The 25,237-nt window shown below is 40.1% G+C and overlaps 1 protein-coding gene across 3 annotated transcripts in view, besides 6 other annotated features; it reads left to right on the top strand.

Moving 5' to 3' along the window:
- Window positions 5,816-7,015: an enhancer, noted in NCBI's record as "MED14-independent group 3 enhancer chr15:83893658-83894857 (GRCh37/hg19 assembly coordinates)". NCBI's record gives its function as "activates an origin of replication core promoter dependent on BRD2, BRD4, P300/CBP and CDK7 cofactors, and independent of MED14, by STARR-seq in HCT116 cells {active_cell/tissue: HCT116}" and the evidence as "EXISTENCE:reporter gene assay evidence [ECO:0000049][PMID:35650434]".
- Window positions 9,598-10,797: an enhancer, noted in NCBI's record as "BRD4-independent group 4 enhancer chr15:83889876-83891075 (GRCh37/hg19 assembly coordinates)". NCBI's record gives its function as "activates an origin of replication core promoter dependent on BRD2, P300/CBP, MED14 and CDK7 cofactors, and independent of BRD4, by STARR-seq in HCT116 cells {active_cell/tissue: HCT116}" and the evidence as "EXISTENCE:reporter gene assay evidence [ECO:0000049][PMID:35650434]".
- Window positions 23,187-23,800: an enhancer, noted in NCBI's record as "H3K27ac hESC enhancer chr15:83876873-83877486 (GRCh37/hg19 assembly coordinates)". NCBI's record gives its function as "activates a minimal SCP1, AML or CMV promoter by ChIP-STARR-seq in primed H9 embryonic stem cells {active_cell/tissue: H9 hESC(primed)}" and the evidence as "EXISTENCE:reporter gene assay evidence [ECO:0000049][PMID:30033119]".
- Window positions 23,187-24,000: a biological region, named in NCBI's record as "H3K27ac hESC enhancer GRCh37_chr15:83876873-83877486".
- Window positions 23,661-24,000: a silencer, noted in NCBI's record as "silent region_6763". NCBI's record gives its function as "represses an Ori minimal core promoter by ATAC-STARR-seq in GM12878 lymphoblastoid cells {active_cell/tissue: GM12878}" and the evidence as "EXISTENCE:reporter gene assay evidence [ECO:0000049][PMID:35858748]".
- HDGFL3 (HDGF like 3) overlaps window positions 24,098-25,237 on the top strand; it is a 95,086-nt gene continuing 93,946 nt past the window's right edge. For all 3 annotated transcript variants that reach the window (XR_001751298.3, XM_006720554.5, NM_016073.4), the window contains exon 1: window positions 24,098-24,590. Coding sequence is in view for 2 of the 3 variants with exons in the window: in XM_006720554.5 (XP_006720617.1) it covers window positions 24,507-24,590 (84 nt within the window). In the remaining variant the exon portion in view is untranslated. The remainder of the gene's footprint in view (window positions 24,591-25,237) is intronic.
- Window positions 24,391-24,840: a silencer, noted in NCBI's record as "silent region_6762". NCBI's record gives its function as "represses an Ori minimal core promoter by ATAC-STARR-seq in GM12878 lymphoblastoid cells {active_cell/tissue: GM12878}" and the evidence as "EXISTENCE:reporter gene assay evidence [ECO:0000049][PMID:35858748]".

The raw sequence follows: 25,237 nt of genomic DNA, 5'->3' as shown, positions 1-25,237 counted from the left end.
TTGCAAATTGTGCTGCTATAAACATACGTGTGCAAGTATGTTTTTTGTATAATGGCTTCTTTTCCTCTGGGTAGATACCCAGTAGTGGGATTGCTGGATCAAATGGTAGTTCTACTTTCAGTTCTTTTAGGAATCTCCACACTGTTTTCCATAGTGGCTGTACTAGTTTACGTTCGCACTAGCAGTGTAGAAGTATTCCCTGATCACTGCATCCACACCAACATCTACCGTTTTTTAATTTTTTTTTATTATGGCCATTCTTGAAGGAGTTAAGTGGTATTGCATTACGGTTTGATTTGCATTTCCCTGATCATTAGTGATGTTGAGCATTTTTTCATATGTTTGTTGGCCATTTGTATATCTTCTTTTGAGAACTGTCTATTCATGTCCTTAGCCCAATTTTTGATGGAACTGTTTTTTTCTGATTTGTTTGAGTTCCTTGTAGATTCTGGAGATTAGTCTTTTGCCAGATGTATAGATTGTGAAGATTTTCTCCCACTCCGTGGGTTGTCTGTTTACTCTGCTGACTGTTCCTTTTGCCATGCAAAAGCTCTTTAATGAAGTCCCAACTATTTATCTTTGTTTTTATTGCGTTTGCTTTTGGGTTTTGGTCATGAAATCCTTGCCTAAGCCTGTGGTGTATACACACACACACACACACACACACACACACACACACACACACACTATATATGGTATATATACTATATACCATATATATAGTATGTATATGTAGTATATACACTATATACCATATATATGGTATATACGCTATATACCATATATATGGTATATACGCTATATACCATATATGGTATGTATATGTAGTATATATACTATATACCATATATATGGTATATATACAATATACTATATATGGTATATATAATATATATACCATATATACAGTATACTATATGCCGTATATAGTATATATACAGTATACTATATACCGTATATACTATATATACGGTATATAGTATATATACGGCATATATACTATATACCGTATATAGTATATATATGGTACACAATATACCGTATATATACTGTATATACACGGTATACAATATACCATATATACTGTATATACACGGTATATATACTATAGTATACTATAGCATATATAGTATATATACTATATATGCTATAGTATACATAGTATGTATACTATATATGCTATAGTGTACATAGTATATATACTATATATGCTATAGTATACTATAGTATATATACTATATATGCTATAGTATACTATAGTATATATACGGTATATATACTGTATATACCGTATATACGGTATATATACTATGTATACGGTATATATACGGTATATACCGTATATATAGTATATATACCGTATATACGCTATATACGGTATATATACCGTATATATACTATAGTATATACGCTATATACGCTATATACGGTATATAGTATATACCGTATATATGCTATATACGCTATATAGTATATACAGTATATACGCTATATACGGCATATAGTATATACAGTATATATGCTATATACGGCATATAGTATATACAGTATATATGCTATATATGGTATATAGTATATACGGTATATATTCTATACGGTATATAGTATATACGGTATATATTCTATACCTTATATAGTATATATAGTAGTGTATATATATACTATATACGGTATATAGTATATATAGTAGTGTATATATACTATATACCGTGTATATATACTATACACGGTATATAGTATATATAGTAGTGTATATATATACTATATACCATATATAGTATATAGAGTAGTGTATATATATACTATATACCATATATAGTATATATATAGTAGTGTATATATATACTATATACGGTATATAGTATATATAGTAGTGTATATATATACTATATACGGTATATAGTATATATAGTAGTGTATACATATTATATACCATATATAGTATATAGTATATATATGCTATATACCATACATAGTATATATAGTAGTGTGTATATATACTATATACCATACATAGTATATATAGTAGTGTGTATATATACTATATACCATACATAGTATATATAGTAGTGTGTATATATACTATATACCATACATAGTATATACAGTAGTGTGTATATATACTATATACCATACATAGTATATACAGTAGTGTGTATATATACTATATACCATACATAGTATATACAGTAGTGTGTATATATACTATATACCATACATAGTATATACAGTAGTGTGTATATATACTATATACCATACATAGTATATACAGTAGTGTGTATATATACTATATACCATACATAGTATATACAGTAGTGTGTATATATACTATATACCATACATAGTATATACAGTAGTGTGTATATATACTATATACCATACATAGTATATACAGTAGTGTGTATATATACTATATGCCATACATAGTATATACAGTAGTGTGTATATATACTATATGCCATACATAGTATATACAGTAGTGTGTATATATACTATATGCCATACATAGTATATACAGTAGTGTGTATATATACTATATGCCATACTTAGTATATATAGTAGTGTGTATATATACTATATGCCATACTTAGTATATATAGTAGTGTGTATATATACTATATGCCATACATAGTATATATAGTAGTGTGTATATATACTATATGCCATATATAGTATATATAGTAGTGTGTATATATACTATATACCATATATAGTATATATAGTAGCGTGTATACATACTATATATAGTATATATAGTATATAGTATATATACCATGTATAGTATAGTATATATATACACTATATACCGTATATATATACACCATATATATACACACATATATGATGGAATACTACTGCCATAAAAAGGAATGAATTAATGGCATTTCAGCAACCTGAATGAGATTGGAGACTATTATTCTAAGTAACTCAAGAATAGAAAATCAAACATCGTATGTTCTCACTGATACGTGGGAGCTAAGCTATGAGGATGCAAAGCATAAGAATGATACAATGGACTTTAGGGACTTGGGGAGAAGGGTGAGAGGAGCAAAGGATAAAAGACTACAAATAGGGTGCAGTGTACACTGCTCAGGTGATGCATGAACCAAAATCTCACAAATCATCACTAAAAAACTTACTCATGTAACCAAATACCACCTGCATCCCAATAACCTATAAAAAAAGATGACTCAAAAAGTAATTCATTCTGATAAAAAAATAAATAAATAAAAATGATGATTTCAATGGATTGAAATCTATCAAACATTCTAAATCCATGCATTCCTATAATAACACAAGAAAAAGAGAGAAATTAGTAGTTATCTTTGGTGAATACTAGAGAATCAACTCATTATTTTGCAATTATTATTATTATTATTTTTTGAAATGGAGTTTCACTCTTGTTGCCCAGGCAACAAGGGGCAACATCACCACGGGGATGAACTCTTCAAAATCAAGGCAATGGGAAACTGCAGAGAAATAATCTGATCTCTGACAAATGCATTGCAAGGAAAAGAAATAAATGAAGTGGAAAGCCTATAGTTTAAATTACATAATTACTACGTATGGGCTTTAACTGGTTCATGATTTGAATGAAAAGACCATTAACAAATTTATAAAATAATTAGGTGAATTTGAACTCTGGCTATTTTACTGAATGATATTAGGGAATTATTGTCAATTTTAAGGATGATAATGGTATTGTAGTTATTGTTAAGGGTCTTTATCTTTTAGAGATACACACTGAAATATTTACAGATGAAATTATATAATATCAGGGATTTGCTTCAAAGTAACCTAGGTATAAAGGATGTGTACAGAATACAAACAAGATTGTCCAACAGTTGATATTTGCTAAAACTGTATAATACAATGTATATCCATTATACTGGTTTCTTTTCATATTTTTGCACGTTTGAAAATTTCCATAATAAAAATCTTTAAAAACTTAGCCAAAAGAATACAAGGATAGTAATATTAAAATTGGGTAAGGTTAAATTAAATTTTAAAAGTAGTTTGCAAAACAGAGAGAGACTTTAAAATGTTAAAGGGAACAATCCACAGTGAAGTAATAGCAGTCATGAATCTTTCTGCAATAAATAAAATTCATAAGACAAAACTGCAGAAAATAAGAAGAAATTGCCAAAAACATAATAGCAGTAAGAGACTATAATTCATTTACTCTGCACATGATAGACACAATAAGTAGGCCTATAAAGGCTCTGAATTATATAATCAATAAGTTTGAATTCTATATCCTGAGCATAGTGAATACTTTCAAGTACCAACACATTTATAAAAATCAATCTTTTGTAAGGCCATAAAGAAAACCTACATAAATTCCAAAATGTAGAATAAAATCTGACTCCATTGTGTTTTAATAATACAGTAAAACTAAAAAGCAGGATCCAAAACAATCTTACACATTGCTGATAGGAATATAAAATGATTACAGCCACTGTGCAATATAGCTTGGCAGTTCTTTTTTTTTTTTGAGACGGAGTCTTGCTCTGTCGCCCAGGCTGGAGTGCAATGGTGCAATCTTGGCTCACTGCAACCTCTGCCTCTCAGGTTCAAGCGATTCTCTTACCTCAGCCTCCTCAGTAGCTAGGACTACAGGCACGTGCCACCACACCTGGCTAATTTTTGTATTTTTAGTAGAGACAGGGTTTCACCGGATTAGCCAGGATGGTCTCTATCTTCTGACCTCGTGATCCGCCCGCCTCGGCCTCCTAAAGTGATGGTATTACAGGCGTGAGCCACCGTGTCCAGCCAGCTTGGCAGTTCTTAATAAGGTAAGCATATATCTATCGCATGACCCAAACATTTCACTTCTAGGGATTTGCCAAATAGAAAAGAAAGCACATGTCCATGCAAATATTTATATAGAAATATTCATAGCAGCTTTATTTGTAATAGCCAAAAACTAGATACCACCCTAAGTCCTTCAGCAGCTGAATGGATAAACAAATTGTGGCATATTCGTACAATGGAATACAGTTCCGCAATGAAAAAAAGTGAATGATGGATACGCAGAACAACATGAATGAATCTCAAAATAATTATGTCGAGTAAAAGAAGCCAGACAAAAAGAGTACATGTTGTATGATTCCATTTACATGAAATTCTAAAAAATGCAAACTAATCTATAGTGACAGAGTAGATCAGTGTTTGCTTGGGGAACTGGTGATTACAAAGGAGTATTAGAAACTTTTGTGTATTATGAATGTATCACCATATTAACTATGTTGGTGCTTTCATAGTTACATACATCTGTCAAAACTTATCAAATTCTATACCTTAAATATGTACAGTTTGTTGAATGTCAGTTATACCTGGTTTTTAAAAATCCTAGGAATAAAGTGAATATATAGGACTTATATAAGCTAAGCATATATCTATCATATGGATGTAAATAAATAAAATCTTTAAAACCTATCAAAAAACAGCATAAAATATGGCAAGGCGTAGTGGCTCATGCCTGTAATCCCAGCACTTTGGGAGGCCGAGGTGGGCAGATCACTTGAGGCCAGGAGTTGGAGACCAGCCTGGCCAACATGGCAAAACCCATCTCTACTAAAAATAGAAAAATTAGCCGGGTGTGGTGGTGGGTGCTTGTAATCCCAGCTACTCAGGAAGTTGAGGTGGGAGGATTGCTTGAGCCCAAGAGGCAGAGGTTGCAGTAAACTGAGATCGCGTCACTGCACTCCAGCCTAGGTGACAGAGTGAGACTCTGTCTCAAAAAATAAAAAAGAAAAGAAAAGAAAAAAAACTTAAAATAGACATGAACCAATACAAAGACAGATTTAATCTTAGATAGAGATGCTCAATTTCATAAATGTGGTGTAATAAAAAAATCAATGAATATTCATTCACTTTTTTATTTAAGTTGAAAATGTTTGCAAAATTATTCTAAAAAAAAACCACACACACAAAAATGTCCCAGATATCCAGAAATAGAAGAGTAACATTGGTACAGGAATAGATAAATCAATGGAGGAGAATTAAGAGTACAGAAATAAACCCAAGAATAGACAGGAATCTGGGATATGATAAACAGTATTTCAGATCAGTGGGGAGATGACTTAATAATTGAAACTGTACAATGGCCTAACTATTGGAAAGTAGAGGAGTTATATCCATTCACTCTCGCCACCAAAAAACAATTCTAAAGAAATCAAAACTTGTATTTAAAAATGAAACTATCAAAGTACTACAGCTAAACGTGGAGCTGGGGAGGTTCCAAGATGGCTGAACAGGAAGAGCTCCAGTCTGCAGCATTCAGCGTGAGCGACGTAGAAGACGGGTGATTTCTGCATTTCCAACTGAGGTACCGGGTTCATCTCACTGGGGATTGTCAGACAGTAGGTGCAGCCCACGAAGCAGGGTGGGGCATTGCCTCACCTCGGAAGTGCAAGGGGTCAGGGAATTCCCTTTTCTAGCCAAGGGAAGCTGTGACAGACAGTACCTGGAAAATCAGGACACTCCCACCCTAATACTGCGCTTTTCTGCATCTATTGAGATAATCATGTGGTTTTTGTCTTTGGTTCTGTTTATATGATGGATTATGTTTATTGATTTGCGTATGTTTAACCAGCCTTGAATCCCAGGGATGAAGCTCACTTGATCTTGGTGGATAAGCTTTTTGATGTGCTGCTGGATGTGGTTTGCCAGTATTTTATTGAGGATTTTTGCATTGATGTTCATCAGGGATATTGGTCTAAAATTCTCTTTTTTTGTTGTGTCTCTGCCAGGCTTTGATATCAGGATGATGCTGGCCTCATAAAATGAGTTAGGGAGGATTCCCTATTTTTCTATCAATTGGAATAGTTTCAGAAGGAATGGTACCAGCTCCTCTTTATACCTCTGGTAGAATTCGGCTGTGAATCCTTCTGGTCCTGGACTTTTTTTGGTGGGTAGGCTATTAATTATTGCCTCAATTTCAGAGCCTGTTATTGGTCTATTCAGGGATTCAACTTCTTTCTGGTTTAGTCTTGGGAGGGTGTATGTGTCCAGGAATTTATCCATTTCTTCTAGATTTTCTAGTTTATTTGCATAGAGGTGTTTATAGTATTCTCTGATGGTAGTTGGTATTTCTGTGGGATCGGTGGTGATAACCTCGTTATCATTTTTTATTGCATCTATTTGATTCTTCTCTCTTTTCTTCTTTATTAGTCTTGCTAGTGGTTTATCAATTTTGTTGATCTTTTCAAAAAACCAGCTCCTGGATTCATTGATTTTTCGAAGGGTTTTTTGTCTCTGTCTCCTTCAGTTCTGCTCTGATCTTAGTTATTTCTTGCCTTCTGCGAGGTTTTGAATGTGTTTGCTCTTGCTTCTCTAGTTCTTTTAATTGTGATTTTAGGGTGTCAATTTTAGATCTTTCCTGCTTTCTCTTGTGAGCATTTAGTGCTATAAATTTCCCTCTACACACCGCTTTAAATGTGTCCCAGAGATTCTGGTATGTTGTGTCTTTGTTCTCACTGGTTTCAAAGAACATCTTTATTTCTGCCTTCTTTTCGTTATGTACTCAGTAGTCATTCAGGAGTAGGTTGTTCAGTTTCCATGTAGTTGAGCAGTTTTGAGTGAGTTTCTTAATCCTGAGTTCTAGTTTGATTGCACTGTGGTCTGAGAGACAGTTTGTTATAATTTCTGTTCTTTTACATTTGCTGAGGAGTGCTTTACTTCCAACTATGTGGTCAATTTTGGAATAAGTGTGATGTGGTGCTGAGAAGAATGTATATTCTGTTGATTTGGGGTGAAGCGTTCTGTAGATGTCTATTAGGTCCACTTGGTGCAGAGCTGAGTTCAATTCCTGGATGTCCTTGTTAACTTTCTGTCTTGTTGATCTGTCTAATGTTGACAGTGGGGTGTTAAAGTCTCCCATTATTATTGCGTGGGAGCCTAAGTCTCTTTGTAGGTCTCTAAGGACTTGCCTTATGAATCTGGGTGCTCCTTTGTTGGATGCATATATATTTAGGATAGTTAGCTCTTCTTGTTGAATTGATCCCTTTACCATTATGTAATAGCCTTCTTTGTCTCTTTTGATCTTTGTTGGTTTAAAGTCTGTTTTATCAGAGACTAGGATTGCATCCCCTGCTTTTTTTTTGTTTTCCATTTGCTTGGCAGATCTTCCTCCACCCCTTTATTTTGAGCCTATGTGTGTCTCTGCATGTGAGATGGGTCTTGACTCTTTATCCAATTTGCCAGTCTGTGTCTTTTAATTGGGGCATTTAGCCCATTTACATTTAAGGTTAATATTGTTATGTGTGAATTTGATCCTGTCATTATGATGTTAGCTGGTTATTTTACTCGTCAGTTGATGCAGTTTCTTCCTAGCCTCAATGGTCTTTACAACTTGGCATGTTTTTGCAGTGGCTGGTACTGGTTATTCCTTTCCATGTTTAGTGCTTCCTTCAGGAGCTCTTTTAGGGCAGGCCTGGTGGTGATAAAATCTCTCAGCATTTGCTTGTCTGTAAAGGATTTTATTTCTCCTTCACTTACGAAGCTTAGTTTGGCTGGATATGAAATACTGGGTTGAAAATTCTTTTCTTTAAGAATGCTGAATTTTGGCCCCCACTCTCTTCTGGCTTGTAGAGTTTCTGCTGAGAGATCCGCTGTTAGTCTGATGGGCTTCCCTTTGTGGGTAACCCAACCTTTCTCTCTGGCTGCCCTTAACATTTTTTCCTTCATTTCAACTTTGGTGAATCTGACAATTATGTGTCTTGGGGTTGCTCTTCTTGAGGAGTATCTTTGTGGCATTCTCTGTATTTCCTGAATTTGAATGTTGGCCTGCCTTTCTAGGTTGGGCAAGTTCTCCTGGATAATATCCTGCAGAGTGTTTTCCAACTTGGTTCCATTCTCCCCATCACTTTCAGGTACACCAATCAGACGCAGATTTGGTCTTTTCACATAGTCCCATATTTCTTGGAGGCTTTGTTCATTTCTTTTTACCCTTTTTTCTCTAAGCTTCTCTTCTCACTTCATTTCATTCATTTGATCTTCAAACACTGATACCCTCTCTTCCACTTGATTGAATTGGCTACTGAAGCTTGTGCATGTGTCACGTAGTTCTCGTGCCATGGTTTTCAGCTCCATCAGGTCATTTAAGGACTTCTCTACACTGGTTATTCTAGTTAGCCATTCATCTAATCTTTTTTCAAGGTTTTTAGCTTCTTTGCGATGGGTTCAAACATCCTCCTTTAGCTCGGAGAAGTTTGATTGTCTGAAGCCTTCTTCTCTCAACTTCTCAAAGTCATTCTCTGTCCAGCTTTGTTCTGTTACTGGCAAGCAGCTGCATTCCTTTGGAGGAGAAGAGGCACTCTGATTTTTAGAATTGTCACCTTTTCTATTCTGGTTTCTCCCCATCTTTGTGGTTTTATCTACCTTTGGTCTTTGATGATGGTGACGTACAGATGGGGTTTTGGTGTGGATGTCCTTTCTGTTAGTTTTCCTTCTAACAGACAGGACCCTCAGCTGCAGGTCTGCTGGAGTTTGCTGGAGGTCCACTCCAGACCCTGTTTTCCTGGGTGTCACCAGCAGAGGCTGCAGAACAGCGAATACTGCGGAACAGCAAATGTTGCTGCCTGATCGTTCCTCTGGAAGCTTCATCTCAGAGGGGCACCCAGCCGTGTGAGGTGTCAGTCAGCCCCTACTGGGAGATGCCTCCCAGTTAGGCTACTTGGGGGTCAGGGACCCACTTGAGGAGGCAGTCTGTCCGTTCTCAGATCTCAAACTCCGTGCTGGGAGAACCACTACTCTCTTCAAAGCTGTCAGACATGGACATTTAAGTCTGCAGAAGTTTCTGCTGCCTTTTGTTCAGCTATGCCCTGCCCCCAGAGGTGAAGTCTACAGAGACAGGTAGGCCTCCTTGAGCTGCAGTGGGCTCCACCCACTTCGAGCTTCCCGGCCTCTTTGTTTACCTACTGAAGCCTCAGCAATGGCGGACGCCCCTCCCCCAGCCTCGCTGCCACCTTGCAGTTCGATCTCAGACTGCTGTGCTAGCAACGAGCAAGGCTCTGTGGGCATGGGACCCTCCGAGCTAGGCACAGGATATAATCTCCTGGTGTACCGTTTGCTAAGACCATTGGAAAAGCACAGTATTAGGGTGGGAGTGACCTGATTTTCCAGGTGCTGTCTGTCACAGCTTCCATTGGCTAGGAAAGGGAATTCCCTGACCCCTTGTTTTTCCCGGGTGAGGCGATGCCTCGCCCTGCTTTGGCTCTCAGTCGGTGGGCTGCATCCACTGTCCTGCACCCACTGTCTGACAAGCCCCAGTGAGACGAACCTGGTACCTCAGTTGGAAATGCAGAAATCACCCATCTTCTGTGTCGCTCATGCTGGGAGCTGTAGAGTGGAACTGTTCCTATTCGGCCATCTTGGAACCTCCACAATTGATTTTTTTATACTGACCTTTTGGCCTATGAACTTGCTGAATTTACCTGTTGATTGCAATAGCTTAACTATAATCATTTAGTCTTATATACATAATTATGTCATCTGTAAATAATGGTGTATTATTTTCCAATCTGAACACTTTTTTCTTACCTTATTTTCCAGGCTAAGAACTCTAATACAATCTTGAATAGAAGAGGTGATAGCAGATATCCTTGTCTTGTTCACAAGCCTAGAGAAATGTTTCAGCATTTCACCATTAAGTATGTTGTTTTTGTAGATACCCTTTATTTTATTAAGAAAATTCCCATCTATTCCTAGTTTACTGTTTTTTTAATGTATGCTTCATTTTATCACTTTTCCTTAATGTCTAATCATGAGATTTTTCTCCCTTTATCTATTAATGTGGTAAATGACACTGATTGTTTCCTAAATGTTAACTTCTAGATTATATTCAATTTTTCCATATGTATTATCTTTTTTATGTATACCAGAATTTGGCTAGCTTATATTTTGGTTGAGATTCTTTAAATCTATGTTATGAGAGAGATTGGTATTTTCCCTTCTTGTGTTTTACTTGTCATGTTTTAGTATTAAGATTGTGCTAGCCTCATAAAACAAGTCAGGGAGTATTCCCTCTTTTTCTATTCTCTGAGTTTGTGTGATATTGGCATTATTTCTTCCTAAAATGTTATGACTTACTAGTGAAGCCATCTGGGCCTGGAATTTTCTTTGGAAGAGTATTTTTTTTTATTATGGATGAAATTTATTTTCCTTTCTTTTTAAGAGAAAGGGTCTCACTCACTGCAGCCTCAAACTCCTGAGCTCAAGTGATCCTTCTGCCTCAGCTTCCCAAGTAGCTGGGAACACAGGCGTACATCACCACACCTGGTTATCTTTTTAAATTTTTTTATAGAGACAGGGTCTCACTATATTGCCCAGGATGGTCTCAAACTCCTAGGCTCAAGTGATCCTCCCACCTTGGCCTCCCAGGGTGCTGGGACTACAGATGTGAGCCACTGCACCCAGCCAAAACCTATCTCTTTAGTAGCTTTAGGACTGTTCACATTTCTCTTTCTTCTTATGTCAATTTAGTTAAGATGTGTTTTCTTGTCCATTTCACGTATATTTTCAAATGAAACTTAAAATTTTTAATGAAACTCAAAACTTAAAATTTTCCACAATGGCCTTTTTGTTATTTTAAATATCTGTAAGATTTGAAATGACGTGCCCTTTTTCACCCTTCATATTTGTTATGTGTGCTTTCTGTACTTCTTTTGATCAGACTTGACAGAGGCTTGTCCAATTTATTTTTTTTTATAAACCAACTTCGGGCATTTTTGATTCTCTCTTTGAAATATTTTTATTGTTTATTAATTTCTGCTCTTCATTCTTTCGTTCTCCTTTGTAAGGTTTAACTTTCTGTTCTTCATCCTTTTTTTCTAATATATGTATTTATGATTCCCTAAACAGCTTTAGCTCATCCCCCAAGTTTAGATACATTGTGTTCCAAATATTATTCATTTTTTAAAGCTACACACAAATTGTATTTAAGATCAATTTATTATTTTTTCCTTTTTTTAATTTTAGTTTTAGGGGTACCTGTGCAGGGTTTTTTTACATGGATATATTGTATGATTCTGAAGTTTGGGATTCAATTGAACCTGATACCCAAATAGTGAACATAGTACCCAATAGGTAGTTTTTCAACCCTTGCCCTGTACCCTCCCTTCCCCATTTTCCAGTCCCCAGAGTCTATTTTTCCCATCTTTATGCCTGTGTGTACCCAATGTTTAACTCCTACTTATAAGTGAGAATTTATGGTATTTGATTTTCTGTTTCTGCATTAATTCACTTAGGATAATGGCCTCCAGCTACATTCATGTTGCTGTAGATGACATAATTTTGTTCTTTTTTATGGATCCATACTATTCTGTGTATATGTATCATATTTTCTTTATCCAATCTACTGTTGATGGTGACCTAGGTTGATTCTATGCCTTTACTGTTGTGTATACTGCTGTGATAAACATGAGAGTGCAGGTATCTTTTTGGTAGAATGATTTATTTTCCTTTGGGTATATAACCAGTGAAGAGATTGCCGAATTAAATGGTAGTTCTATTTTTAGTTACTTGAGGAATCTCCAAATTGCCTTTACAGGGGATGGACTAACTTATAGTCGCACCTATAAGCATTCCCTTTTCTCTGCAACATTGCCAACATCTATTGTTTTTTGACTTTTTAATAACAGCCATTCTGACTGGTGTGATATGGTGTCTCATTGTGGTTTTGGTTTGCATTTCTCTGATGACTAGTGATGATAAGCATTGTTTCATATGTTTCTGGCCTCATGTCTTTTTTTGAGACATGTCCTTTGCCCATTTTTTAATGGGGTTGTTTTTTTCTTGTTGAATTGTTTAAGTTCCCTATAGACTCTGGATATTAGACCTTTGTCAGATGCATAGTTCATGAATATTTTCTCCATTCTATAGGTGTCTGTTTACTCTGTTGATAGCTTCTTTTCCTGTGCAGAAGCTCTTTAATTAGGTCCCACTTGTCAAATTTTTTGTTTTTACTGCATTTGCTTTTGAGGACTTAGTTATAAATTATTTGCCAAGGCCAATGTCCAGAATAGCAGTTCCTAGGTTTTCTTCTAGGATTTTTATAGTTTTAGGTCTTATATTTAAGTCTTTACTCCATCTTGAATTAATTTTTGTATACAGTGAGAGGTAGGGGTCGACTTTCATTCTTCTGCATATGGTTAGCCAGTTTCCCCAGTACCATTTATGAATAGGGTGTCCTTTCCCCATTGTTTATTTTTGTTGACTTTGTCAAAGATCAGTTGGTTGTAGGTGTGTGACCTTATTTCTGTGTTCTCTGTTCTGTTCCACTGGTGTATGTTTCTATTTTTTGTACCAGCACCATGGTGCTTTGGTTACTGCAGAATTGTAGCATTGTTTGAAGTCAGGTGATGTGATGCCTCTGGCTTTGTTCTTTTTTTCTTTTCTTGAGACGGAGTCTTGCTCTGTCACCAGGTTGGAGTGCAGTGGCGCAATCTTGGCTCACTGCAACCTCCACCTCCTGGGTTCAAGCGATTCTCCTGCCTCAGCCTCCCGAGTAGCTGGGACTACAGGTGCACGCCACCACAAACGGCTAATTTTTTTTGTATTTTTAGTAGAGATGGGGTTTCACCGTGTTAGCCAGGATGGTCTCGAACTCCTGATCTTGTGCTCTGCCCACCTCGGCCTCCCAAAGTACTGGAATTACAGGCGTGAGCCACTGTGCCCGGCCTTGTTCTTTTTTCTTAGGATTGCTTTGGCTGCAATATTATTCAATTCAAAATATATTTTAATTCCCATTGTGATTTCTTCCTTGACTCATAGGTTATCTTAAGTTAGGCAATAAATATATTGTTTAATTTCCAAATATTTGGGAATTTCCTAGTTTTCTTTTTTCTTTCTTTTCTTTTTTTCTTTTTTTTTTTTTTTTGAGATGGAGTCTTGCTCTGCTGCCCAGGCTGGAGTGCAATGGCACGATCTCAGCTCACTGCAACCTCTGCCTCCTGGGTTCAAGCGATTCTCCTGCCTCAGCCTCCCAAGTTAGCTGGGATTACAAGCACACGCCCCCATGCCTGACTAATTTTTGTAGTTTTAGTAGAAATGGGGTTTCACCGTGTTGGCCAAGCTGGTCACAAACTCCTGACCTGAAGTGATCTGTTTGCCTTGGCCTCCCAAAGTACTGGGATTACAGGCATGAGCCACCGCGCCAGGCCCTAGTTTTCTTTTTGTTATTGATTTCTAGCTTGATTCCACGGTGGTCAGAGAATATACTATGCCTAATTTTAATAATTTGGAAGCTACTAGGACTTACTCTATTGCCTAGCATATGGACAATTTTGGTAAATGTTCCATGTGTATTTGAAAATAATGTGTATTCTGTAGATGTTTAGTACTTTATTCTAAATATATCAATAAGATTGTATTTATTATTTGTGTTGAGTCATCTATATTCTTACTGATTTTTTGTCTACTTGTTCTATCAGTTCCTGAGAGAACTGTATTGAAACCTCCCACCATAACTGAATTTTTCTTTTCCCCTTTTAATTCTGTCAGGTTTTTTGCTTTATATATTTTGAGGTAATGTTATTAGTGTATATAAATTATTTTATTTTTTCTGGTGAATTGACCCTTTTATTTTTATGTAATGTTTCTTCATCTATAGCAGCATTTTTCAACTGTGCACTATTGACATTTAAGACATGGGCAGGAGAATTCTTTGTTGGGTGGGAGGTGCTGTCCTGTGTACTGCAGAATGTTTAGCAGCATCTTTGTCCTCTACCCATTAGATGGTAGTAGCATCCTCACCACAAGTCGTGACAATCAAAAATATCTCTAGACATTGCCAGAAGTCCATTGGGGGGCAAAATCGCTCCTGGTTGAGAACCACTGATTTGTAGTAATGCTTTATACCATAAAGTCTACTTTATCTGATTTAGCAGAGCCACTTTCTATCGGTATTTCCAAAGTTTTTATTTTTCCATCATTTTACTTTCAACCTTTCAAAATTGTTACTCAAGATATATCTCTTGTAAACAGTATAAAGTTAATTGTCTTTTTAATCAGCCTGACAATCTTTTAATTGTAATTGGATTATATCTTCCATTTACCTATAATGTAGCCACTGATTTATTTGGGTTTAACCCTATCATGTGACCATTTATTTCATATTTAATTAATTATTCCATGTTCTTTCTTCTCCCCTTTCATGCCACTTTGGATTATGTGTTTTTTTCTTATTTTGTTATCACTCCATTAGTTGAGCATTCTTTTATTATTCTTCCACTGGTTATCTTAGAGAACACGACATATATCTTTAACTTATTAAAACGTAATATTCAGTAAACAAAACATCATGGTACTGGCACAAAAACAGACGCATACACGAATGGAATAGGATAGAGAATCCATAAATAAAGCTGCACACCTATTAATACAACCATCTGATCTTTGACAAAGTCAACAATAACAATAACAAGCAATGGGGAAAGGACACTCTATTCAATAAATGGTGCTTGAATAACTGGCTAACCACATGCAGAAGACTGAAACAACCCGTTTGTTTTGCCATATAACTTTTATAAGTTTTAGATCCTTTTGCCATATACAAAACCCAAGAGTTAGTTTTGTCTATGGCAAAAGGATCTAAAACTTATAAAAATCCTAGGAGAAAATCTAGGAACCTAAATGTAAGACCTAAAACTATAAAAATCCTAGAAGAAAACCTGGGAAGTACCATTCTAGACATCGGCCTAGGCAAATAATTTATGACTAAGTCCTCAAAAATAAATGCAATAAAAATAAAAATTGACAAATGAGACCTAATTAAACTAAAGAGCTTCTGCACAGCAAAAGAAACTATCAACAGAGTAAGCGGACAACCTACAGAATGGAGAAAATACTCACAAACTATGCATCTGACAGAGGTCTAATATCAGAATCTATAAGGAACTTAACAAGAAAAAAACAACATCCCCATTTAAAAATGTGCCAAGGACATGAACAGACACTTCTCAAAAGAAGACATACATGTGGCCAACAAATATATTTTAAAATGTTCAATATCACTAATCATTAGAGAAATGCAAATCAAAACCACAGTGAGATACCATCTCACACCAATCAAAATGGCTATTACTAAATGGTCAAAAAAACAATAGATGTTGGCAATGTTGAAGAGAAAAGGGAATGCTTATACACTGTTGGGAGGAATGTAAATTAGTTCAGTTTGGGGATTTCTCAAGTAAATTAGAACTACAACTCAACCCAGCAATCCCCTTACTGGGTATATACCCAAAGAAAAATAATTTGTTCTACCAGAAAGACACATGCACTGGTATGTTCATTGCACCACTGTTCACAATAATAAAGACAGAGAATCAATTCAGATGCCCAGCAGCGGTGGACTGGATAAAGAAAATGTGGTACCTATATACCATGGAATACTATGCAGCCATAAAAAAGAACAAAATCATGTCCTTCCAGCAACATGAATGCCGCTGGGGACCATTATCCTATGCAAATTAACACAGAAACAGAAAACCAAATACTGCATGTTCTCACTTAAAAGAGGGAGCTAAACATTGAGTACATGTGGACACAAAGATGGAAACAATAGACACTGGGACTCCAAAAGAGAAGGGGGAAGGAAGGGGTGAAAACTACCTACCATGTACTATAGTCACTACTTGGGTGACGAGATCATTCATATACCAAACTTTAGCAACACACAATTTACTCATGTAACAAACATGCACATATAAACTCTGAACCTAAAACAAAAGTTGAAAATAATAATAAAAACTAAAATGTAGTATGTTCATATTTTTGTCACTTTCTGTATTATTCTGGGACCTTAGACCTTTTTATTTCACTTACCTCAATCTCACTACTTGAGTGGGGACAGCCTGTAATCCCAGCACTTTGGGAGGTGGAGGTGGGCCAATCACCTGAGGTCAGGAGTTCGAGACCGCCCTGGCCAACGTGGCGAAATCCCATCTCTACTAAAAATACAAAAATTAGCTGGGCATGGTGGCATGTGCCTGTAATCTCAGCTACTCGGGAGGCTGAGGCAGGAGAATTGCTTGAACCCAGGAGGCAGAGGTTGCAGTGAGCCAAGATGGCGCCACTGCACTCCAGCCTGGGTGACACAGTGAGACTGTCTCAAACAACAACAACAACAACAAAAACACCCTATTTGTAAATTTGTAATTCCCCATATATATAACCCAAGTAAGTGATCATTATGTAATTTTATAGTTCATTTTATTTTTCTTTAGATTTTCTCAAATATTTATTCTATCGTTCTTCATTTTGTCCTGCATCTTGCTGTTTGTCTGGGATCATTTTCTTTCCACCTGACTAGCTCCCTTTAGTTTTTCATTTAGCGCAAGTCTGCTGCTGATAAATTCTCTAGGTTTATATTTGTCTAAAAATTGTCTTTCTCTTTTATTTGAAAGAAGTTTGCTTTAGAATTTTAGGTTGCTAGTTATTTTCTTTCTGCTGATTAATCAGCTATCATTCTTTGTGCTGCACCTTTGAAGATAATGTGTTTTTGCCTTTGTCTTCTTTTTATATATTCTCATTGTCTATGGGTTTCAACAATTTTACTATTATGGTTGCTGGGTTTTTGTTTTGTTTTGTTTTGTTTTGTTTTGTTTGAGACAGGGTCTCACTCTGTCACCTAAGCTGAAGTGCAGTAGCACAATCACAGCTCACTGCTGCCTCAACCTCCCAAGCTAACGTGATCCTCCTACCTTAGCCTCCCAATTAGCTGGGACTACAGGTGCATGCCACCACTGCTGGATTTTGTGTTTTTTTTTGTTAGAGACAGGGGCTCATTATACTGCCTAGGCTGGTCTCAGACTCCTGGGCTCAAGTGATCTTCCTGCCTTGGCCTCCCAAAATGCTGAGATTATAAGCATGAGCCACCACAACCAGACTACTATTATGTTCTTAGGAGTGGTTTTAAAAAATATGTCATGATTGATGTTCAAAATACTGTTTAATCTATGGCTTGATATCTGTCTCATTTAATTTGGGCTGCTATAGCAAAAATACTGTAGACTGAGTGGTTTAAACAGGCATTTATTTCTAACAGTTCTGGAAGCTGGGAAATCCAAGATCAATGCACCAGCAGAGCTGGTGTCTGGTGAGGGCACAGTTCCTGGTTTGCAAATCACCATCTTCTCACTGTATCCTCATAGGGTAAAGGCAGAGAAAAGAAGCAAGCTCTTGGCCTGACACAGTGACTTATGCCTGTAATCCCAGCACTTAGGGAGGCTGAGGTTGGGCAGATCACCTGAGGTCAGGAGTTCAAGGCCAGCCTGGCCAATAAGGTGAAACCTTGTCTCTACTAAAAATACAAAATTAGCTGGGTGTGGTGGTGCACATCTGTAATCCCAGCTATTCGGGAGGCTGAGGCAGGAGAATCACTTGAACCCAGGAGGCGGAGGTGGCAGTGAGCCAAGATCATGCCATTGCTCTCCAGCCTGGGCAAAAAGAGCAAAACTCCATCTCAAAAAAAGAAAAAAGAAGCAACTTCTTTTGTATCTCTTCTTATAAAGGCACTAACCTCATCATGAGAACTCTATTTTCATGACATAATTACCTCCCAAAGGCCCCACCTCCAAATACCATCACACTGGCGATTAGAGTTTCAACAAATGAATCGGGGGTGGGAGGACACAAATATTCAATCCATAGCTGTATTGTTAATCAGTTTTGGCAAATTCATGACCATCACTGCTTCAAATACTGCTTCTATTCCATTCTCTCCCTCTCATCATCATTTGGGACTTCATATTAGATTTTTCACCATATCTCAGAGAAAAAGAATACTAACTTACAAATACTAGCTAATAGAAAGTTGGTGTGAGTATACTATGTTCTTTTCTGTTTTTTCCTCCCTTTTTTTTTCCTCTGAGCTTCTGTCTGAATATCTTTCCTTTTGATCCATCTTCCAGATCAGTAGCTCACTTCAGCTGTATCTAATCTGCTATTAAACCCTGCTTCTGTTATTTGTTTCTACATAACAAAACAGCCCCAAATTTTGTGGCTTAAAACAGCTGCCATTATTTACTTGCTCATGGTCTGTGATTTGGGTGAGGCTCAATGATGATAGTTTGTCTCTGCCACATGGTGTTGGCTAGGATAGCTTAACTGAGGTTGGAGGATCCAACATGGTTTTGCTCACATGTCTGGCTTCCAGTCAACAAGAGAGACTGGAAGAGTTGGGGACCGGCTGGGCCTCTCTCTCCTCTCTTTCATTTTTCATTCTCCAAGACCTATCTCTCTCCATGTGCCCCACTCCTCTTCCATACTAGCAAGGTATTTATGATTCTTTACACGGTAGGTCAGCACTTCAAGAGGGTGAAATTAAAGCTCCTAGGCCTCTTCATGTCTAAGCCTCAAACTATCAAAGTATCATGTCTCCCACATTGTTCACTCTACATGGTAGCCCTTCAGACGGTTAGCTATAGATACCCTAGCCTCCTGTAACACTACTTCATTTGGCATAGTTTTGATTCCTTCATTATTCCCCATGGGTCCTAGATCTAGAACAATGATGATACATAACCATACTCAACAAATACTTATTCAATAAATGAATGAATGCTAACTAATAATATAATTGTAATCTAATGCTCCCTTCAGCAGCATATACACTACTATTGAAACAATACTAGCATAAATGGTAGGAAAACTTGCAAAACTCTTCAAGCCTTTAATATCTTCTACATCTTGAACCCCCTCTCTCCAATTATCTAGTAATTCAGTAAAATTACCCAGTTTGCTCCTCAGCCTGCAACACAACAGTGAAGGGGTAAGAATGAAAACAACCTAAACTGAAATAGTCCTTAGGCGCACAGTCTCATGAGAATTCCTAGGACCTAAAGCAATCCCTATTTCCATCCCCAAATAAGGTCCCAGGTAGCTCAAGCAGTGCCTTCCAAGACAATTAACATTTCTGGGGTTATGATTGAGGTGCTATCTGTATCTCTACTTGGTGACCTAAGTGCAGTTGCTGCTGTTACCCATCCCTACTCAGGCAATTCTGGTTGACCCCAACATTTAACCCTGGACCTCTCCCCTCATGGCCCATGTTGACTCTATGGTGCCTTTTACCAACTTAGAACTGCCTCTGATGCTCACACCAACATGGGAGTTGTCTCTCTCACTACAAGTAGTATGTTACAGTTCTTTTATTTGACTCTCAAGAGGGTGTCAATATCTTACAGACCTTTCTCTTTCAAGGAGTGTGAGACCAGTCCCCTGGGATTGGGGTGAAAGACATTTAAGAGATACCTCTAGTGGCAAAAGTAATGGAAATGGACTCTGATGCAAGGCCCAGGGAGCTCTCTTCTAACATGCTGAGTGTGTGTGTGTGTGTGTAACACCAAATTTTCCTGAATCCCTTTCCACAGTTCTTTTCACCACACCATGTAAACAACAAAGATAACAATATCGACTAACATTTAATGAGAATTTACTATGTGCCAGGCACTGTTCTAAGTATCTTATATGTATCACCTCATATATAACTTGGACAAAGGAATAGATTTTAGGCAATTGAAGCATTATGGAATGGGTGAATTTGGGGGCAAGATTTGAAGGAACTGTTAGAGTTTTACTAGAAAGCTAAGTGAAGATATGAAAGGAGAAAGTGACAACAGGATCATGTCAACAATATACATATATGTGTATGATTGAGAAGAGGATGGCAAAAATACATCAAGAAGCCAAAGGCAAGGAGAAGTACTAGCCCGCAGGGATTTGAGGATGCTGAAATAAAAAGTGATCAAAGAAAGTTGGTATTATCACCATTTGTGAATGGATTTCCTTCTATGTTTCAGAAGTAAAATTAATGTATGCTATTTTGATATAGCAAATAGACCAGCTCCTGGGGCCACACTGACTAAAATAAAATACATCAGACTCTTTTAATGGTCCTAATTATATCTCTAAAAAGTTACATATTATCTGTTAAATATTTGAGTAGAGCGTTGTTCTGGAATAGCCACAGCTTAGTCCTTTGCATAAAGTGGAAGAACCAGTCTGAAAGCTCTGTCTGCAGTGAAAGCCACAGGGCAATGCTTCATCCCCCGTCACAATGTGTTGACAAGGTGGTGTGCATCCATCCTGGCTGCAGAGACAGATGGGCTCTTAGCCAAGAGCATTAGGCGATTCCTGATGACCAGCCAGAGGGAGCCCATGTGGGTGTATTATTAAGTCTGACTTGGTTAGATGAAAGATTGAGAGTCAGGCAAATGATGTGTGCTGAGCAAACCTGAAACCAAAGCCTAGATTGGGAGAAATTTCCACCTTCTCAAAATTACCAAACTCCATCAGTTATGCACTCTACTGGCTACTTCTCCTCATTACAAACTAAAATTTCTCCTAGCTTTAAAAACCAGCCAGAAATCACAACAGAATAACTCTCCCTTCATGTTTTTTTAAGAGATGAGGTCTCTGTTGTCCAGGCTGGAGTGCAGTGGTGTGATCACAGCTCACAGCAGCTTCGAACTCCCAGGCTCAAGAAATCCTACAAGCGCACTCCACCATGCCTGGCTCCTTCATCCTTTCTTGCTACTCCTTCTCCACTGCTGGCAATGAGCAATGAGTTGTCTATACTGCCTCCACATTTTCACCTCTTACTCACATCTCAATCCACCACTCTGGTGTCTTCCCAATACCATTCAGTGAAACAGTTCCCAACTGTTTCATCAGTGACTTCTCAATCACCAGGTTTAACAGACTTATCTCCTTCCATATCTCACTTGACCTCCTTGTGGCATCTACCCAGACATTTCCTTCCTTCTGGAAAATCTTTTACTCCTTGGCTCCTATGACACTACGTTCTTCTTCTACCTGACCCTTAGATGTTGGTGTTACCTGGCTCCAAACTTGGGCACTGCTTTTCTCATTCTACAGTTTCCTGGGCATCCTCCGTTATGGTTTCAGTGACCACTTATATACTGATATCACTCAAAAGTCTACATTCTGTCTTGACCACTTTCTCTAAGCTGTGTATTTAGCTGCCCACTAACTAGCTCTCTGGATGGCCCATGGAAATCTCAACACATCCCAAACCACTCAAGATCTCATCTCTAAACCTGCCCATTCTTCATGGATTTCTGCACCTTGGTGAGTGTCAAAACTAATCATCCTGTTGCTCCAACCAGAAACCAGGGAATCAGTTTCTACTCTTCCTCCTTCCTACCCACCTACCACCCAAAGAATCGGCAAGCTCTGTCTCAGCCCTTGTCTTATCTCTCCTGGGGAGAGAATATCAATGCAGGTCCTGCCCCAAGCCTCTCACCCTCAAGTCTAGTCCCATGCTGGCCACCAAAGTAATGTCTAAACCTGAACTGTGATCGCATCCCTCCATTGTTTACTGCCCTCCCCTGGTTGGCTTCCAACTGACAACCTTTCCCCTCTCATTTCTCTCCTCTTCCCTATATCCACCCCGTGCCCACAGGGAGGCTGGACTGTAGGGGCAAGCAGGCAACAGCTAGGGCTTTGACAGCTAGTCAGAGGGATGTGAGTTTGACATATGAGGATACAGAAATCATTCTACAGCTTCATGAGCAATGCGTGACATCATGGCAGCTGCATACGGTAGGTTCTAGGAGAGAGAGATGTTAGCAGATCATCACAACTGAGGCAAAGAGGACCTAGACTCATCTTCCACAGTGAGAAAAGAGGAAAAAAACGAACCTGTAGGACAGGTGAGTACAGGTCAATACCAAAAAAAAAAAAAAAAAAGAAAAATCATGAGATGCAAGTAGTAAGGAAATGCATTAGTAAAGTAATGTAAAAGCACTGCTAACAAAGTAAACAATCCACAGGAAATCTAGAGACTTTAAAGCCCCATCATAGGAAGCCCAGCACCACAGAACAAGAGCAGGAGTTAAAACACACACACACCATTCTACAAGGCCAGAGAGGGGGGCGGATGGTGGGGAAAACTGTAGCTTCTGTAAAAGGGAGAGAGAACAGACACAAATGAGAACTGTCCGTGTGACAAGGTGAGGGCCACAGAAAGCAGCATTTAGGAGCTATGCCAGCTGACCCCTTAAAGGAGGTGGGTTACAGCATGATTAAAGAAGCAGCATTCGTTCATTGGACAGACTCCAAACGATTCCTTGAATTATTCTACTTACTCCTCACAAAAGAGAGTGTTAGGAAGATTCCTACTCTCAAAATGTCTTTGAAAGCAGCCAGCTAGGGAATTTAGAGTAAAATAGTGGTAAATGAACATGTTCTAGAGCTAATGAACTGTATATGTACATACATCTCCAGAAAGGGATGCTAATTTCAAAAACGTTGTCCAAAAGGTTGCCAGGATTGGAAACAAGTGACCGGCCAGTGCAAGTCCTTTTCACAAACACTGCAGGCCTAGAAAACGCACACAGAGAGAAACATAATCGCTTATGGACTTTGGACTCATGTGGATACAGGTTCGAATCCCGTCTGTGCCACTCAGCAAATGAGAAAACCTCCCATGACTCCGATTAAATAGCTCGCCCTAGGTGGGTCACACTGCATTGTTAAGGGCAGACCTGGGGCAAGAATCCAATAAGGTCGCTGACTCCGGAGCGGTGCTCTTTCCGGCAGCTTGGTGCCCAGCAGAGGGTCCCCTCGCGCCGCCGTCCCCCAGGCCTGGAGCGCCTTTGTCCCCCACTCACCAGAGAGCAGCCGCGGAAGTGGCTGGCTGGGGGTAGCCAGGAGAGGGTCGAGTCAGCGGGAGGTGGGCGTGGGAGCGGGGGGCGCGAGTGGGGAGAACCCCCAGAGTGGCACGGACGGGAGGGGAAGGGGGCGGCCGGGTGGTGATTGGCTGGGCTGCGGCAGGCAGCTCCGGGCCAAGAACAAAAGAGAGCAGGCGGCGGGCGTCCTCCGGAGTAGGCACTCCCGCCCGCCCGGCGCGGGCTTCGGTGCTGGGGGAGGACGCGCCCACCGCCCGCCCGCCAGCCGAGAAGCCGGGCTGGCGCGCTCGGTTTCTCCGCGAAAGCCGGCCGTGTACCTAGGAATTAACCGGCCCGCGCGGGAGGGAAGGGGAGGGGAGCGGGAAGCGGGAAGCGGGGCGGGGGGGGGATGCTGAGCGCGCGCGAGAACAATAATAAGATCGTGTTTGCGGTCGCTGCCCGAGAAGGAATTCGGAGCAGACGCGAGGCCCGGCGCTCGCGCCGCGCCCGGGAGCCCGGGAGGGAGACCGGCAGCGGCGGCATGAGGCAGGCGACGCGGCGCTGGTGAGCAGCGCGCGCGGCGGCGGCGGCGGCGGCGGCGGGGACCTTGGCGCGGCCGGACGCGGGCGAGCGCCGAACGGCCGGGGGCTCCCCTCCCCCGCTGCCGGGCCGTGATTTGCCGGGCCTGCTGCGCCCCCCGCCCACCCCTTGCCTCAGCCGCCGCCTCGCCGCTTCCCCTCGTCGGAGCGGCCGCTCGTCCGCCCGGCTTGAGGCCCGCGGGGAGCGCGGCGCAATTCGTCGGCCCGCGGGGGGGCGGCCTCCCGGCATCTTCGCGGCGACCAAGGACTACCAGGAAGGGGAGCGGCTGGGATGGCGCGTCCGCGGCCCCGCGAGTACAAAGCGGGCGACCTGGTCTTCGCCAAGATGAAGGGCTACCCGCACTGGCCGGCCCGGGTGAGTACCGCGGCCGCGCGCGGGCCCGCCCGCCCACCATTTTCCCCTTCATGATGGCGCGCCCGCCCCCTTTCCCCATCGCCTCAGCCCCGAGCCCGCAGCTCGCGGCCGGCTGTGGTGAGGGCTGAGGGCGGCGCGGCACGAAGAAGACCGGGCCGGGGCTGAGGCAAGGGCTCCCGGCCTCGCCCGCACTCCGCCAGGGCGGCCATCCTTCCGCCCACTTTCGAAGGCGGGTCCGGCCCCCGCAGGCCCGACGCTGCCTTCCTCCTGGAAAGCCGGTGCCGACCGGGAAGCCACGCCGCCGGGCAGCGGGCCTGCGACGGAGGCTTCGGCTCCGGGCAGGGTCATTGGTGGATACCCTGGGTCCCGGGCGAACGTCGGGGCAGGTACGGCAGCGGGGTGAGCGGCTGTCCGCGAGCCGGCGAGTGCCGGCGGGCAGTAAATCCTGGAAAGTGGTAGTGGTCATCCAGAGGCCAGCGGGAGCCTCTTGGCAGTCATTCATCCATCTCTTTGCCTTCTAGACTTGTTGAGTTTTCCCTGAGCGCGATTCCCGGTGCCCCGCCTGCCCTATCATTGTCCTGGGGTACGTGCCTCTCTGGTGCCCATCGTTCTTTTAAACCGACCTCTGATAGCCGAGAGCTTGCAGC

Source organism: Homo sapiens, chromosome 15 (assembly GCF_000001405.40).
Source record: "Homo sapiens chromosome 15, GRCh38.p14 Primary Assembly".
NCBI lineage: Eukaryota > Metazoa > Chordata > Mammalia > Primates > Hominidae > Homo > Homo sapiens.
This window is presented reverse-complemented; position numbering and strand designations above follow the sequence as displayed.